Source organism: Homo sapiens, chromosome 8, assembly GCF_000001405.40.
Source record: "Homo sapiens chromosome 8, GRCh38.p14 Primary Assembly".
Classification (NCBI taxonomy): domain Eukaryota; kingdom Metazoa; phylum Chordata; class Mammalia; order Primates; family Hominidae; genus Homo; species Homo sapiens.
The window spans coordinates 52,220,111-52,239,190 of NC_000008.11; the positions used below are offsets into that span (position 1 = coordinate 52,220,111).

At 37.3% G+C, this 19,080-nt stretch overlaps 1 protein-coding gene across 63 annotated transcripts in view; it reads right to left on the bottom strand.

Annotated features, from left to right (window-relative positions):
- ST18 (ST18 C2H2C-type zinc finger transcription factor) overlaps positions 1–19,080 on the bottom strand; it is a 299,042-nt gene that overhangs the window by 109,273 nt on the left and 170,689 nt on the right. For 45 of the 63 annotated variants that reach the window (NM_001352872.2, NM_001352833.2, NM_001352830.2 and 42 more), the window contains 3 exons: positions 9,922–9,967; positions 1,530–1,683; positions 631–738 (listed from right to left, as the gene is read on the bottom strand). The gene's annotated coding sequence lies outside the window, so the exon portion shown is untranslated. Of the gene's footprint in view, positions 1–630; positions 739–1,529; positions 1,684–4,978; positions 5,020–8,408; positions 9,968–19,080 lie in introns of those variants that run through there. The other 18 variants (NM_001352871.2, NM_001352836.2, NM_001352862.2 and 15 more) reach the window with 5 other exon arrangements.

Sequence of the window (19,080 nt, forward strand, 5' to 3'; positions counted from 1 at the left end):
ATGTATATTTTTAATATCCCCAGATTAAAGAAAACTCAGGGCAAGTAACACACTAAAAGGGCCTTTACAATTTTTTTCTTGCTGTTATTTTGAGATGCATCTGTTGCAAAATATGTCAATGTTAGAAATCAAGCTCCTTCATATAGGGATAGATCATTTGAAATAGATTTCTCTCAAGAATAATCCAATTATTACTTTTTAGTGTTTGCATAAATTCACTCCAGAAGTCATCCACAGTACTTTTTAAAACATTGTGCTTTTAAAATCTTGCTTATTTACTCTTAATCCATAAACAAACTAATTTCTAACACGAATGTAAACTGGATTTTGAAAACCATTTTAACAATCAAACTTTCCTTAAAGGCAAACGTGTGAACAAATAATACATACCAATCAATATGCAAAACGGTTTGTAGGCTCAGAGGACTTTGCCTATTTAATATTTTAAAATATTAAATGGCTGTATTTCTGACAAAAATTGCAATTCTAAATTCAACACTAACAATAAATTTGTAAGCGAATCCACAGAGAAAGAGCTGTTGTAGAGGAGAGCTTTCGTATAAATTCTTTGATTGAATTCATTTTCTTTCAACATGTTCTACTTTTTAATAAATAAAAATGTCGCCTTACCTCTCTTTTTCTCCAGGTAACTTGTATGTCAACTCAGTTTGCCCTGCTGTGTCAGGGGGACTAAATAAATGACTTTGTCTTATTTAGTGATAAATCCTGAAATTCATTCTATTGAGATAAGAAATCAAACAAGAAAAGCATATCAGGCTGGACAAATAAATAGAAGAGCAGCAATAAACACTTAAATGAACAATCAACAAAGTGTTGACACTTATCTATAGTTTGATTGTACTACAGTAGAAATAGAATGACAATTTTTATACTATGTATCAATGGGGAAAAATAGTTTTTTATTTTTTAAGGTAAGCCAAATTTATTTTTGTCTTTATTACCAAACTACCTATCTCTATCTATCTATCTATCTATCTATCTATCTATCTATCTATCTATCTATCTACCTACCACTCTATTACTTCTTCAATTTAGTTGGGAAATTAGATAAGAGGGACTCTTAATGATCATTACTATTATTTTTACTTTTAACCACCAAAATAAAAAGTTGAGGCAAGATTTGGAATGTACTATACTCAAGCGGTCACAAAAGGCAGATCCAAAATGTATTCTTTTGTTACTTAGGGTTCTTTTTAACGAGACCATCATAACATGATACCAATCCTTTTGCTAATGTTTTAAGTTGTCGTCCAATGAAATGCTTTGCCCTTGGTTTACTGTGTGTTCAGTCATCATACACAGAGGTGCCTCACCTCTATGTGGTCCCAGGGATGAGCACAGAATCAGTTTTCATCAGGCTATTTGGCCCTTGAGAGAAAACTTTGAAATTCAGTGTCGTGCACTCAACATACTAGAGGAACCAATTTATACAAACATCACGTGTATCCATGCACATTTAAAATGTTTATGTCTGGCAGTTCTGATGTTTTAAAACACAAGCCACCAACCTTTCTTGCAGAAAATTTCTACCGTCCTGCCTTCTCTACCCTTTGCAGTATATCAAAGTGCTCAGCTTTTTAATCATAGATTTCTGTGTTTCTTGTAGGATTTGACCAGACATTAAATAGATGCTTCTTCAACTTAAGTCAGCAACTGTAGTTCCTGGGGAAAAATGGAGATAAAACTCTCAAGTGATAGAGCAGATTACTGCACATGATGTAAGAATTGAAAAGTAGCACAGGAGCTTGGGAATTCTTAGTTTGCGTTTGATTGCAACTAAAAAAAAAAAAACGGCTTTCTCTCCAAATGTTTTTGGCCTATTCTATTGCGCCCTCAGTTCAGAAAGAGTTCTGAAGCTTTCCACCTGCCTATTCCCCTTTGTTTGCCATACACTAACCTAAAACAAAAGATCCTGGAAAACAGTCACACTGGCAAACAAAGCTCTTTCTAAATCCTGAAAGTAATGGCTTTTTGTCTAATACCCTATCGTGTTATGTATTTATTAGCAATACATTTTCCATTTATTTTCTCAAAGATTGCCAATAAAGAACTGAATCACATAAGGGAGTAGCTGTAAAGCCTCTGAGTTCCCTAATGTCAAACTCATTAGCATTCGAATAAGCACACAGCAGCACATCATCTGCACAATTGCAATTTTTTACTACTTTTAATAGCATTTCTCAAAGGGCTCATTTTCAACTTTCTTCAGTGGTTAGTTGGTTCTCAGGGGAAAAGTAGCTTCCTGACGCTCACAGCTTCCACTCAACAGCCCGGCCGTTTGCTGTCAGATGCATCAGCCCTCTGCCCTAACCCCATCTGCCGTGGCTCCCCTCCCTGGGGAAGAGAGTGAAGGCAGCACAGCTGAGATCGGCTTGGAGAAGTGCACAGAGGGCACTGACAAAATATAACTTTAGAAATATGATTTGACACAATAGAGTTCATGAAGTCTAAGCACACCAACATACAAATGGGAACGAGGAGCCCTGCAGAGGCTCTCCATCCATGTGTCTATCATTAATAACTCCACACCCTTGGCAGACACCAAAAGGAATCTGCGACTGACATCGGATCACTCTAGTCCCTGCATGTGCACTATCAGATCAAGGAGATACCTTTAAAAAACCATTTTTCTTAACTGCCATACTTTTTTGAGTTTGATCTTAAATATGTTATGAGGGCTAAGGACTTACCAAAATATTCATGCAGTATACACATTTTTGAAGGCAGTTAACCTAAGACTTAGAATCTTGATCAAGCTCCCAGAACTTGTAACAGAGTTAGTTTTAGCCCCCACCTACTTAGATGAATACTTTTGCATTGAAACTCATTTTTTAATGAAAAAGGAATCTTAAAAAAAGGAAATGATGTGACAAGTGAGGTGTTAGTAACCTAACGGGCTACCCAATTCTAAAGTGTGCTCTCTGATGATGACATGGCTTCGCTTGTTAAATAAAGTCATCACGAAGGACTACGTTTGTCCACTTTACTATCTGCCAATAATTAGGGACTCTCAGTCCTTTATGGCTGCTTCATGGATGAGTACTGCGCCTGAGAAAGACAGTTCTTTAAACCTGTGCTACAAGGTAATGAGTCTGGTATGTTATTTTTTTCAAAAATAGAGTATATCAGATTATATTTTATCAGTTAGAATGAATGACCTAAACTGATAATGATATACATGTTAATTGTATCCCCAAAGTAGAGAATCATAGATTTATTTATGGGTCCTTGGCCAGGTGTGGTGGCTCACGCCTGTAATCCCAGCACTTTGGGAGGCCGAGGCGGGTGGATCACATGAGGCCAGGAGTTTGAGACCAGCCTGGCCAACATGGTGAAACCCTGTCTCTACTAAAAATACAAAAATTAGCCAAGTGTGGTGGTATGTGCCTGTAATCCCAGCTACTTGGGAGGCTGAGGCACAAGAATCACTTGAGCCCAGGAGGCAGAGGTTGCAGTGAGCCAAGATCACACTGCTACACTCCAGCCTGAGCAACAGAGTGAGACTCTGTCTCAAAAAAAAAAAAAAAATTTACTTATGGTTCCAAAGGATGTGATTTTTTTTTTAAGTCCTCAAAACTAAACTCAAAGTGAAAAATTTATTGAAAGGGCAAGTAAGTTTAACATGAAATGGATGTAGCACTCATAACCCTGTGCTATAGTAACTAATATGAGGTCATCACCATCACCAATTTCATTTTGGAACTTGCATACCAAGGGAACCAGACCATTCTGTGGTTCTGATATAAACCATAGCATCCTCTCAGAAGTTCAGAATATTGATACAGACTCCAAAGACCACTCTGAGATTTGCTTTTTTTAATAAGTAAACATAAAAATTTTAGCACATTTACCTTAGTATTGCTATCCCTTGAGAACCTATCTCCACAATTTACAACAGATTGAGCTCTTAATCGCTCTTCTAATGCTAATATCTTCACCAATTATTTGTTAGTTGGAATGATGAAAAAGAGCAGATTATCCTTGCCTGACTCAGTTTTTTGAATGATAAGAAAAGTTCTTTACACTCCCAAGTTTCTAGTTTTATTTTTATATTAGTCAGTATGATACTTTAAGTTATAGTCAAGTTTGCATAACCACTTTTGCTCCATTAAATTTCTAATGAAAACTTAAACCCTTTATTTTGGAGTTCCTAATCAATCAGCTGTAGAATTGGTATTTTCAACATAGCAAGAGATTATATATTTAGAAGTTGATGAACAAAAATTATGTAAGCCTTTTGCCACTTTATATTTATGCTATCAAAAATGACTTTCTTCTGCCTAGCTTTCCAGGTTAATATTAGGGCATATACTTTGTTGGCTGGAGCAAATGAAGATAAGCACTGAATTTCATTTAAGATGTTTAGGCAAAGACAAACACTCTTCATTGGCTATAAACTTCACTTTTACCACCAGCCCATAATTAGGCCTCTGATCACAGCAGGAGTAGAAACAAGAGCTTCAGCAAAACTGGAACCACTCTGCAGGAAAAACAGCTCCCATGGCAAAGTGGGTCAATGGTATCTCGCTTACTTTTAGGGAAGATGTTTCAGATTTTAAATCGTTGCATATTCAACAAGATGAATTCTTTGATATTAGCAAACAGACTACTTTTCTTTATCACCTTTTAACATTTTTCGCTTCCCCGAGTGATTGTTGTAAATATACACACAAAACTTCTTGTTATTCGTATAGCTTGTCATTTTGAAAGAATAAAATTTGTCAATGCACACAATTTCCATGGACGAATTTAAATGATTTTTATTAGTTTGCCCAGCTTTTTGAAATCTCTGCCTTATAGAACCTTTCAAAGAATTTTCAGTACAGGGAATGCTATGGCAACTCTCATAGGCTCCCAGAAAAATGCAATTTTTGCTTTTGCAGATTGCTGAAGTCATCCAGAGCATCACAATAACTTCCGGTTTTCACTGTGATAGATATGAAGTAATTGTACTTACACTAGTAGGCATAACAGTATTTGTATTTGTCCTTCCAGTCCCTGTAAAAATAAAACATAGATCTCTTCTCCTTAAGCTCTGAAGCAATTGCAATAACTTATGCAAGACCTATATTTCTCTCTGCAAGATGATTTAACTTTTACCTGATTTAAGTAACAAAATAGCCCTCAAAGATACTTAAAGCCTTGCTGTAATTAACATAACTGCATTTAGATGCCATTCATGACTGATAATTCTAACACCTTGTGGGAAAAAAAAGTTGCATGCTGTAAACATTATAAACATATTCAAATAAGCTTAACACAATCTGCCATGCTTATTTCTGCCTAGATCATGGACCAGCGAAATGGTTAATGCAAATGGATTTATAATTTGCTTTGGGGGGCCAGTTTCTTCTCCTTATTTATTAGCCCAGCTGATGGGGCAGATTTGATGAGGCACTTCTGGAATAATTGAGTCATCACACAAAGAAGGCTGCTAGCATTCAGAGTGGTTTTATCAGCAGCAAGCAGGCCTGATTACTGACAATTACACTCTGATCCGGTGATGGAGGAGAAAGAGCCAACGAGTGGGAAATGTCCGTGTTTCTATCCAGGAATAATTTCTACATTCATTTTACATGCTAAGTGTTTCCTATCTCTGCATAATAAACTGTAAACAGGAATAGATGGCACAATGTCCCTTAATATTTCCTGGTAATGAAGACACAAATGTACAGTGAGTGCTGATAAATATAGATGAAACATAAGCTATTCTCCCAGTCTGTATTGTTACCTTTAAAACAAATGCATTTTTGTGGTAAAAGCATAATCATAGCTAATGCAAAAAAATGACAGAAGATTGAAACTGTCCTTGTAACTACATAGAAACTTCGTAAAAGTCCTGTTAATCACTGCTGCTTTAAAGGCTGGTGAGCTGAAGGTGAGATACTAGAAAACACATCGTCTTGTTTCTCAACAGTCAACTGTGAAGAACTCCTTGGGTTAGATGCAGCAAAGGACAGAGCAACAGTGACCTCCATTAACACTCAGAGAGAGCAAATCTCCATGCTAAACTGAGAAAACAATGAATCTGGCACAAGGAGACATCTTCACTAGCATGGATTTCAATTTCCCTTCCTTCAGGCCTTTCAACAAAGCGTTGACCATGAATAGTAAAGTTATATCTAAGATTGCATGACTCGTCACACAGAGCAATGCATTGCTGTCTTTGGGGTGGCATTTTTAACCACTTGTTTATGATGTGGTTTATTAACAAAATACTATGAGCAAAAAACGCATCTCATGGAGATGCTGGATTAAACTAGCTTTCCCTCTAACTCAGAATCTACTTGTAAACACCTACAGAAAGGAAATGTTCAGACTTCTTAATGTGCTTCCATAGATTTTAGTGGGAAAACTTTAATTTTCTGTAATATTAAGTTTCCTCTTTTAAAAAACCAATCAGGTATGAAGCCCCACATAATGAACCTGCCTGGGTCTGTTTGCTTAATCTTTTCTCTAAAGCCCCTTCCTGGCTTCGAAAGAAATAAAAGTTATTCTCAGTTTTCCTGTGGTAACTATGGAAACTGTTTTATTAAACTAACCACTTAACTTCAAGGCTTGTGTTGCAACTAAATGTGCTATTTTCAGTAAATCTATACTAAACAACCTGATAATGTCAAAACATTTTTAATAAAGTTCAAAGAGCACTTGTTGATTCACAAATAAAGCTTTTTATTATGTAAAGAGAATTTTCTCTATTTAAGCTATTTCATTATGTAGATTATTACACAATGTACTTGATAGCTTTAGACATTTTCCATTTTCCTTATCCATCTTTAATAGGTTCTTTGGAATTTTTTCAAAAAGTCTGCTATTTTTCCCAACAGTGACTATTTGTTTTTCATAAAATCTTCCTCATATTTTGTACATTTGAATTAAGATAAAATGTAGTTATTTAACTTTATTATCTGATTATGAGATATGGAATGGGAGAATATATTGAAACTTGAAAAGCAAATGACATGACTCAATTGTGGAGGCCAATGGGGCACTGGATTTTTGCAGAATGATCCTTGGATTTTATTCTCACTACAGTGTTTAATTTAATAAAGATTTTTAAAAAATACACGTATTTTTCTCCTAAGAATGTACCCATTATTCGTTCAGTACACACTTATTGAGAAGAAATCTATGGATTGCCATGCTAGACAGTGGGCATAAAAGGATACATAAAGCACAACTCTTGTTCTCAAGAGCTCAAACCAGGAAGTTGAATATTACAATATTATGTGGAAGGTATTATTACAGAGGGAGGCAAAAGGAACAATGGGAGCACAGACTTAGACCAGACTGGAGAAGCTTCCAGAAGACGATGATTCCTGAAAAATTCATCCCTAGAGAGATTCAGAGAACTATGACTAGAATAAAGCAATGTCCCCAAAGACCAATTGAAAGGACACCAATGGTCAAAATTGTTCTTGGCTTGGTTAAACAATGCATTAAAGCCATATTTTTATATAGTTACAAGAGGGTCAAAGACTTGATGGTCAAATTAGATACCTAAAATTAAATGCTTTGAATTTGATGATTTCATTTGTACGTTTCAAAGGAACTTTTTCCTTTAGTGTCAGAACTGCAAGATCTGTCTGCTGAAATGTGATTTGTCATTCATATTGTGGTTGACAGCATCGCCCAGAATTCTGTATTCCAATAGCGTTTTGATGGCACTCTCATCTTGATGACTATGTTCTGCCTGATATTAGCTTGTCCAGGTCCAGTTTCTCTTCCCTGGGCTGATGTAGGCTCATGGAAGCAAATGGCTATATTGTTGACCTTTTGATGCAACATAATTTTGTGGTCATAATAGGTGCTCAATACATTATTATTGAATTGAATTGAAATAAGCAAAAAATAACACTTTTCAGATGCTTGAGATAATTGTTAATTGGATTTCAATACAAAACAACCCAGACATTTTAGCATCTGGAATACTATAGATTTTGTCTGTTTGATTGCTATGCCAGTTAAGGAGAATTTACAATTTTGTCTTCTCTTATGTTGAAAACATCAGCTCCCAACATGCAAAGGAGAGCAAGTGTGAAGTGTAATAGATTTTATGGTTAGATTTTTTCAAATGTCTACTTTTGTCTCATTTACATGAAAAGTTATGGCTTATGATTTAAATGGGTCCTTTTGCAGGAATAAAAGTCAAATGTAAAATAGAAATAATAGTCATATTTTTCCAAATATGGAAAGAAAACTATATAGGAAGATCTTCAACTCATTTAAACTATAACACAGTCCCTAGTTCTTAGACTTCACTTTTCTCACTTACATTTTCCAGAATGTCCTGACTGTTGTGCATCTACATTTATTTTAAGCAACGTGTGTTCATATATTCATACTGATGACTTTTGTGTGGGAGAGAAAATGGCACTCACCATAAGTAAAGACAAAACCAATTTATTTTTTTAATCAAAATGGTGAGGCGGCACAGTAGTTTCTAAATAAATACACCTCACCTTTGCCAAACTCACAGAGTGGCAGGCACTCTTGTGAGAATTTGTATGTACTATCTTACTTAGTCATCTTACCATGCCTGTGGGGAAGTATTATTGATGTTACATATGAGAAAAGGAAGGAAATTGAGCTCACCACCTTACCCGGGGTTCACACAGGTAGAAAGAGGTAGAACCAGGATTCACATGGCCACCATCTGCTTTCAAACACTAGACTCGGCATTCTTTGACTGTCAGGTCTCTGCAGCAGAGACCTGGCCTTCTACCCCTCGATGTTCCATTCCACTCAGCAATGCTTAGGTAAACATGGACTCACTAAAAAGTCCAATAAAGCATGTACTCATTTGTACCTTGAGTGACACAGGTATTGCATTTACAAATATATCATATAAAGAATTTCTGATGAAGAAGGGGTGTCACAAAGTAGAAAACAGAACTCTCTGAGTTGGCAATAACTATCATTTGGATCAACAAAATCAATATTCCAATTCTTACAGACTATCAGTCTTAGCCTCTCAAGAACATTTTCTCTTCATTCAAATACAGGAATTTACTCATAGGATTCAGACTGCCAGCTGCAAAATATGTCCCATCTATTGGTGGGCTTATTCTATGTATTAGTTTTCTATTGCTGCCATAACAAATTTTTACAAATTTGATGGCTTAAAAAGGCACAAAGGTCTTACAGTTTTGGAGGTCCAAAGTCTGATACGGTCTCACCAGACTAAAACCAAGTTAAGCTACATTCCATTCTGGAGGCTCCAAGGGAGAATGCATTTCCTCACTCATTGGGCTGTTGGTGGAATCCAGTTCCTTGCTGTCATAGGACTGAGGTCCCTGTTTTCTTGCAGGTTGTAAACTGAGAGCCATTCCCAGCTTCCACAGCCCACTCCTTTTTCGGTGAATGGCCTGCTTCCTCCATTTTCAACACCAGCAATGGCGGGTAATGTTGAGTCCTGCTCACATCTCATCTCCCTAACTCATTCTTTGGCCTTTTTCTGAAGGACCATGTGATTAGTTGGCCTTTTTTAGAAAAATAGGATAATCTCAAAGGTCTTCATTAAATCACATCCCTTTTGTCATGCAAGATAACATAATCACAGATTTCAGAGATTTCATGGATATTTTGGGGAGGGGTACTTTATCCTGTCTACCACATTTTAAAATCATACATGTTAATTCTGAATGTCTTACATATTAATGCCCCTAATATCAAACATATGAAGTCATGAATCAGGATGAACAGGTGTAAACACTCCTCAAAAATCTATATGAACATAACCCAAATTACCATGAGGATGCCAACAATAACCAAAGCAAGCATCTTTTCTGGTCCTCTAAAATGAAGTTCCTTAACTTCTCAGGTTTTTGATGGATGTTGAAAAGTTGGAGATTCTTTTTCTTTGGGGGAAAAGTTTATTTTTAAATAGCTTTTACTTACCTTCCCTAAAAGCTACTGGATCTGAACTGGAGAGTTTCCATCACTCCTGAGGAAAAGCATCGGAGGAGGAAAAATGGAAAGAAAAACAAAAAGAAAACATAATTAAATGGTATTTATCTACAGCTTATTAACTATATAAAACCATCCTTTCAAGTAATTTCCATGCTGACTATTGGAATATGGGTTGAAGTATTACCAATCTTCAATAGTCAAACAATATTCATTTGAAAGAACTCTGTCTTAACAAGAAAAACAGGTGTCTACTGTTATCAGAAAATGCTTTTTAGATTCGAACCCTTTTGTTTATAAGTATATTTGAGAACCTTTTCTAGGGACACACCTGAGAGTGAAAGTGAATTATCAATGACAGTCTTTTCTGAAGAAAAAAAAAAAAAGAATCAGTGGTTTAACACTAATTTCTAATCAGATCCTACAGAAAGGAACAGCCCGCACGGCAGCTGTACTTTTCCCAGGGTTAATTACCTTTCACTGCTCTCTACTAATGAGTCAGCTGTTCCTGTCATTGCACACTACACTGGTTCATCTGGAACTCTAGCTGTGGACAAACACAGGAGTGACAGTCCCATTTACATACGGGGTGGGGGCATGTTGTGTACAGATTTCAAAAGGATTTTTTTTAAAAAATCCTTTAATTCTCATGTGTTTCCACGCTAAAAATATTTTTACAAAGAAGGTTTTACTTGGTCAGCTACTGTTTTTCCTCCCAGGTCCCTGGGTTCACCACTAGTAGATATAAAATACTGCCGAACCCTTGGAAAGAGGCGAACTTCACCAACTTCACCAACTCCACAGAAAGCTTTGTCTCACTGATGCCCTGACGACAGAACAATCACCCTATAGGGTGGAAGGATAGCCTCAAAAGTTTGCAACTTCTGTCACTGGTAAAAAGACTTCCTGAAAAACTCATACTACAGAAAAATTAGATTCAAGGTAAAAAACAACCTAAGAGAAACAGACCCCCAAAATATCTTAGCATTGCTCGTACATGAAAAGTGAATTAGAAAATTGCGAGTTTCACACACAAAAAAAGTTGGACTTGAAAGTTGTGTTTTGACCTAATATGTCTAGATCATTGTGGGAAATTATATATATGTATGTGTATGTATGCATATATATACAATTTATTACCCAGATAATAGCTCTTTTATCTATATAATGGCTCTGCTTTCCATCCCATAATGCAGACACAGTGTGCCCTTATATATTTTCCATCCTTCCAACAGAAGTTTAAGCATCTCTTCCCTCCTTTTAATTCCAGAGGTAACTGAGACGGATGTCCAAACAGTAAGCATCCACTGAGTTCCACTTTCCTAGCTTCCAGAATGCCTCTGAGTAAAGGATATCCTCTCACTGGTAAGTTCCTGACTCTAAATCTTAATATGTTGTAACAGTGGCTCTCAGACATTAATATGCATCAGGACCACCTGGGTGGCTTTTTTTTTTTTTGACGGAGTCTTGCTCTGTCACCAGGCTGGAGTGCAGTGGCACGATCTTGGCTCACCACAACCTCCGCCTCCGGGTTCAAGTGATTCTTCTGCCTCAGCCACATGAGTAGCTGGGACTACAGGCACAGGCCACCAAGCCCAGTGAATTTTTGTATTTTTAGTAAAAATGGGGTTTCACCATGTTGGCCAGGATGGTCTTGATCTCTTGACCTCGTGATCCGCCAGCCGCGGCCTCCCAAGGTGCTGGGATTACAGGTGTGAGCTGCAGTGCCCGGCCGGGTGGCTTCTTAAGTGGCACATTCTGGTGCCAAAACTCTGAGGTTCTCACAAGGGTCCAGGTTCTCCTGCTGCTCCATGGACTGCACTGAACAGCAAAGTGTCAGAGCAGTGGCTCTGGAACATCAGTGACATCAGAATCTCCTGGAGGTCTTGTGAAAGCCCAGGCTATGCGTTCCGTAGATCTATGGTGGGACCCGAGAATGTGCATTTCTAAGTTCCCAGATGATGTTGGTGCTGATAAGTTTGTGGACCATACTTGGAAAACTACTGCTTTAGGTATTCACTATTAAATGTGTTGAAGAATCCCAACCCCAAAAGCTAAATATACCCACATAGAGCAGAAGCACTTCCACTTTATTTTTGAGCTATTTATTTGCTCTGGTTTTAATACTTTATGATAGAAAGGAACAGATAAAAAGTGAATGTTCTGGCCCCTCATTGAAGTACATTCTCAGAACCACTTTATAGCTTATTGAACTTGATCTTCCCTTCAGATGAAGCCATTCGTGTCAAGAAAGAAACAGCAATTATGTACTTCTTCATTCAAGGTGCCATTATCAAATATAAGCTCACAAATTACAAATCTAAGAGTTTGCACAATATTTAAACTTGCCAAAAGCAAATAAAATATGGGAATGAATTAATTACAAATTATATCATAAAAACAAATTTAAACGTCAAATAAATATGCAAATTTCCTTGAGACATTCAATATTTTTATCAGCCCTAGTAAATTCTGACTTACTTTCCAAATGGTGCAACGTGTTTCTTAAATACAGTGGTATATGAGGTGTTCTTTGTTGATCATTGCTATTTTGAAGAACGTATTATCCTGAAAACTTCTTGGAGGATGGAAACATTTTAGTCTAATACTAAAAATATATTTGCATTGCTGCTTATGTAAATATCTCTGTGATAAAGCTTTTACAAGGGTATTTTGCAATACTGTTCACAGGAATACATATTTTAGGAAGAAGGAAATAATAAGATAAATTATAGAATAAAACATCTGCTGAATATCTTTCAGTAAAGAGATGGAGGGTGCGTCTCTAAACAGCAAGTCATTTACCAAGCAGAAGTTAGGTCTTTAGCAGTGATCTGCTCAGTTCAGGAAGGACTAGTTAGTGTTCTAAACATGAACTTATCAACTAGTTCTCCAGTAAAGCTGGGAGAATGTAAGCACATGAGAAAGATTTTAAAAGAATCAGTGCCCCTTCTGAATTCTCACTGCCACCTATTGTTTTTGCTGTTCCACAGATATTTATTTTAAAAAGCTACTTTAAAATATCAGTCTCATCTAAATACAAGAGGATAATAATATCACAAATAAAAAAATTTGATTAATACCAGTGTAACTAACCTTCTTGGTACAGAACACTATTATTTAATTAATTCATTAATTTATGTACTCAAATCTTCATTAAGCACCTATTCTTCTGGAGAATGTTTATATAAATCAGTGGAGTCCTCCGTGAGTGGAGAGGGGTGTATGGTGAATGCCACTCCAATAGTGAATCTATTTCTGTTGCATAAATCAAAGAGGTAATAAAATAAAAATCTCCCTGAAGATGTGGAGGCCAAATTTATTTCTCGGTAACATGGGAGAACAATCTGATGAGCTTGACAAAAACTCCACCCTAGGAGTACAAACACCAGGGTGTGTAGTTTGAGTGAAGAAGAATTCCTAATCCTACAGATCTAGGATGGACATACACTCTGTTGTCATGGTGTAAGCCTGGCTGTGAAAGTCAAGATCCTAATTGATCCCTCTCTCCTTGGATGGCTTTCAAGAGTTACAGTGATTCAGACTAAGTAAGCGTCTCTGGTTATTTGAACATCTGATTGATAGTTGTCTCCCACGACCAATGAGAGGTCCGTACAGTTTATATCAGGCGTTTCGTCCAATGCTTATCCAATTTAAGTCTATTATTTTCATTGGCTTTCACCAGCCAATTGGCTTCTCTCTAGATAACAGTGTCTCATTAGCTGTGGCAAATTACTGAGGGAATCTGACTTTTTTGGTTTCTTTTTAAAGTAAATTAAATTTAATCGAATTTGTTATTGGATATTGACACATTATAACTATATATTTATGGAATACAAAGTGATGTGTGTATACAATATTGAATCAAGCTAATTTGTACATCCATCACCTCAAATATTTATCATCGATTCCTCTTGCCTAACTGAAACATTGCACTTTGACTAACATCTCCCCAGTCCCCACAACCCCAGCCTCTGGTAACCACCATTCTGTTCTGACTCTATGTCCAATCCTTCTTGGTTTTCTGTCCAAGGTAACAGATTATGTATTTTTTGGCTATGTTAACTTTTTTCCAAAAAAAGCATGTGCAGGCATTTCCAAAAAATGCCTTAGAAGAACTACAGAATCCCAGCCTTTAAAGATCTAATTTATACCAGGTGCTTTCAAAGTGAATGACAACCACTATGGAAAACAGTGCAGTGATTTCTTAAAGAACTAAAAGTAGAACTACCATTTTTTTTTGAGACAGAGTCTCACTCTGTCACCCAGGCTGGAGTGCAGTGGCTCAATCTCGGCTCACTGCAACCTCCGCCCCCCGGATTCAAGTGATTCTCCTGCCTCAGCCTCCTGGGTAGCTGGGATGACAGATGCCTGCCACCGCACCCGGCTATTTTTTGTATTTTTAGTAGATATGGGGTTTCACTATCTTGACCAGGCTGGTCTTGAACTCCTGACCTCATAATCCATCCGCCTTGGCCTCCCAAAGTGCTGGCATGACCCACCACGCCCTGCCAGAACTACCATTTGATACAGCAACCCCACTACTGGGTATCTACCCAGAGGAAAAGAAGTCATTATATGAAAAAGATACTTGCACACACATGTTTACAGCAGCACAATTTGCAATTGTAAAAAATGCGGAACCAACCCAAATGTCCATCAATCAACAAGTGGATAAAGAAACTATGGTGTGTGTGTGTGTGTGTGTGTGTGTGTGTGTGTGTGACAGAATACTACACAGCCATAAAAAGGAATGAATTAATGGCATTCTCAGCAACCTGGATGGGGTTGGAGACCATTAGTCTAAGTGAAGTAACTCAGGAATGGAAAACCAAACATTATATGTTCTCACATGTAAGTGGGAGCTAAGGTACAAGGATGCAAAGGCGTAAGAATGATATAATGGACTTTAGGGACTCAGGGGAAAGGGTGGGAAGAGGGTAAGGAATAAAAGACTACAAATTGGGTTCAGTGCATACTGCTTGGGTGATGGGTGCACCAAAATCTCACAAATCACCACTAAAAAATTTACTTGTGTAACCAAATACCACCTGTTCCCCAAAAACCTATGGAAATCAAAAGTTTTAAAAGCAATAAGCATTAATAAAAATTACACGATGAATGCCACTTAAAAATGAATAAAAATAAAAAATAAAAAAAAGAATGCTCCTTAAAGGAAATTCTTGCCTCGTGGTAAGCTAGATGAACTAGAGTTCATCTCCTGAACTCCTCCTGCCCCACACCTGGTCTCCGAGTTCCCACAGGAAACCACGCCTGCTCCTATGGTAGCCCCTGGCCCACTGAGGAGTCCTAGTTCAGAGCTCACGGTCAGCTCCAGACTGGAAGCACCTACAGGAAGGGCAAGGGTGCTCTTCTCTCTGCTTCTCTTTCATAAGCAAGGTGCTCTTGAGGGCATGGCATCTTCACATGGGAACCAGCTGACTAATTGTTATATTAACGAAAAAGGGAACTATGATGATGCCCCTGACCCTGTGATTTGAATTTTAGGAGAACAATGGACCAAATATTTAGAGATAAAACAGTAAATATCCACAGCCTGTAGCAAAAAGTGATGCTGGTGAAAACATGCAGTTCAGATTCATTTGTAAGACTCATACATGTGAAGCTTAAAACAGGTAATATCTGAAAACTAGTGAAGTAGGAAATAATCTTATGAACAGTTTACTCATAAGTTGAGATTAGTTTTACAAATTAAGAAAATACAAATGGGTAAAAAGCCTGTGTAGCATTACTATATCTTTGACACATGCACAACTGTCAACTTTGGTGCAGGGGGAGGGGATATTAACATTGAAGGACCGCCACTGCCAGATCAATCATATGCTACAATTAGAGGAATGACTGGCATATTAAAAATGTCAAAAGAAAATACTAAACTAAACTGGGTAGTTCTGAAAATACCAGGAAATAAATAAAAAGATAATAGAAGAAATAAAATATTATTTATCATGACAATCTACATGAATATGCTAAGCAACATACTGATCTTGGATTAAATAGTGGCAGTGGTGGGAAGTAGAAAATAGCAGATGATGCTTTAAAATGGTCTAAAGGAGGCAACAGGTAAGCATGAATCAGAGGAGGCTTCCAGCAATTGCTGCAGTCTCTGTACATTGACACTGATGAAGGCATCGGACTAGACATTGCATAGTTACAGCATTTAAATCTCACCACAATCTAAGGAAGTTCACATTATTATTCCCAACTTAAGGTGAGCAAACTTAAGTCACTCTTTCAGTACAAGCTAGTATTCAGAACTATATCTGAACTGAACACGGTGGCTGACTCCTGTAATCCTAGCACTTTGGGAGGCCAAAGCGGGTGGATCACTTGAGTTCAGGAGTTCAAGACCAACCTAGCCAACATGGTGAAACCCTGTCTCTACTAAAAATACAAAAATTAGCTGGGCATGGTGGCGGGTGCCTGTAATCCCAGCTACTTGGGGAGGCTGAGGCAGGAGAATCCCTTGAACCCAGGAGGCGGAGGTTGCAGTGAGCCAAGATGGTGCCACTGCACTCCAGCCTGGGCAACAAGAGCAAAATTCCACCTCAAAAAAAAAAAAAAAAAAACTATATCTGATGCCAACATTCCTTCTGCTGTGTAGCTCTAGCTAAGATGGCATCTTTCTTTGAGAAAAATCATAGAAAGATCCACAATGATAGCGTGGTCTCTTAGGGAATGGGAGCTTTTGTGCTGAATTAGACAGGAGATAGACTGGATAGACCATTGGAACACCAGTCATAAGAGCTAAGATAATGGGAACACTGAAATAAGGTAAAAATCATAAAACTGGTATGTTGGGGAGGACAGCAATAAATGACCTGGGAAATACTTTATGGATGATTGGAGACTGTGAGCACTGTCTAATTCAGCAGAGTTAGAATGGTGACACACTCTGTCTCTCAAGTAACACCAACCTACGTTTGAATCCTAACTCTGCTCTTCTGTGATCTCAGAACTGCAGTTACCTCCCTCACCTTCAGGTTCCTCATCTGTTAAAAGGGATATAACAGATCCTCCCTCTAGAGCTCCAAGGATCACATGAGATGCCATGGATAAAAGGCATAGTACATAGTAGACATTCAGTAAAATGCCATAATCCAAAAAGAGATCAGTCCCTAGACAAAGCCCAGAGGTATGTGGTCCACAATGAATGCCCCAGTGTGGGCGTGGTGAGGACTTGTGTTAATGAGAGTAATTAAATCTCTGAGGATTTAGCAGCTCATTTTCTTCAAGAGAACATGGAGTTAGTAGGATAATTTGTTAAGCATTCATTAAAAAATATTCTTTTTTATTATTCTATTATTTCTTCACACTAGATACTATTATAAATGCTTTATGTATATTAACTCAATCTGCATAACAAATATATGAATCAGGAACTATTAATTATTTCCATCTTTCAAGTGAGGAGATTGAAATGCAGAGCACCTCAGTGCTTGCCTGGGGTCACACAGCTCCTGAGGAGTAGCACTGGGATTGGACTCTTGCACTAAAGCCCATTTGTTCAATTAAAACAATCTATCATCATCACAAGATGGGTGATGGAGATGAAAGGGTGGATAACACAGATATTATATTTCAGTGTGGGAGCCAAACTCAAAAACAAGGAAATAATAAATATGCAATGCAGTTGAAAGCAGTGATAAATGCAATGGGACAATAATGTAGGCTAGAGGATGGGCTATTTTAGATTGAGGCAGGAATGACCTTTGCTGATTGAAGAAAGGATGCAAAACCATATGCCATAGTGTAAACAGTTAAAGCCCTTGTATCTAGAATAAATAAAACACAATTACAGCTCAATAATAAAAAGACAACCCAATCAAAAGTGGGCAAAGGACTTGAATACACATTTCTACAAAGAAGTTATACAAATGAGCAATAAGCACATGAGAAGATGTTCAACATCATTAGTCATTAGGGAAATGCAAGTTAAAATCACAATGAGATGCCACTGTGAACCCATTAAGATGGCTAAAATAAAAAAGACTGACAATAGCAAGTGTCGATGAGGATGTGAAGAAATCCAACCTTCACATGTTGCTAGTAGAAATGTAAAATGTTCAGCAACATTGAAAAATAGCTGGCAATTTCTCAAATGGTTAAACATAGAGTTTCTATATAATCCAACAATTTGACTTCTAGGTACATACCCAAGAAGAATGAAAACATGCGTCTACTTGAGAAATTGTACACAAATATTCGTAACAGCATTACTCACAGTAGCCAAAAATTGGAAACAACCCAAATGTCTATCAACCAATCAAAGGAAAAAAAAGGTAGTATATCCAATCTGTGGAATATTATTCAGCCATAAAAAGGAATGAAGTATTAAATTAGTGCAACCTCTATAGAAAACAGTAAAGACATTTCTCAAAGAACTAAAAACAGAACTACCATTCAATCCAGGAATACCACCACTGGTATCTACCCAAAGGAAAAAATTATTACACCAAAAAGATACCTGCACATGTATGTTTTTTGTAGCACATTAGTCACAATAGCAAAGACATGAAATCCACCTAATTGTCCATCAACGGATTACTGGATGAAGAAAATGTGGTATACACACACATGTGCACATACATATATACAACATGGAATACTACTCAACCATAGAAAAGAATGAAACCATCTCCTCTGTAGCAAGATGAATGGAACTAGATGCCATTATCTTAAGGGAAATAAGTTGGAAACAGAAAGTCAAATACCACATGTTCTCACTAATAAATGGGAATGATGTATGCACATGGACATGGAAAGTTTAATAATAGACATGGGAGACTCGGAAGGGTGGGGGGTGGGAGGAGGGTGAGGGATGAGAAATTACTTAATGGGTATAAGATACCCTATTTGGATGATGGTGACACTAAAAACTCAGACTTCACCACTGTGCAATATATCCATGTAACAAAACTGCACTTGTACCCCCTATATCTATACCAATAAAAGGAATGAAGTACTTATGTATGCCGAAACATGGATGAGCCTTGAAAATATGCTAAGTGAAAGAAGCCAGGCAAAAAAGATCACATATTATGTAACTCTATTTATATGAAATGCCCAGAATAAGCAAATCTATAGAGACATAAAGTAGATGAGTTGTTGCCCAGGGTTAGGAGGAAG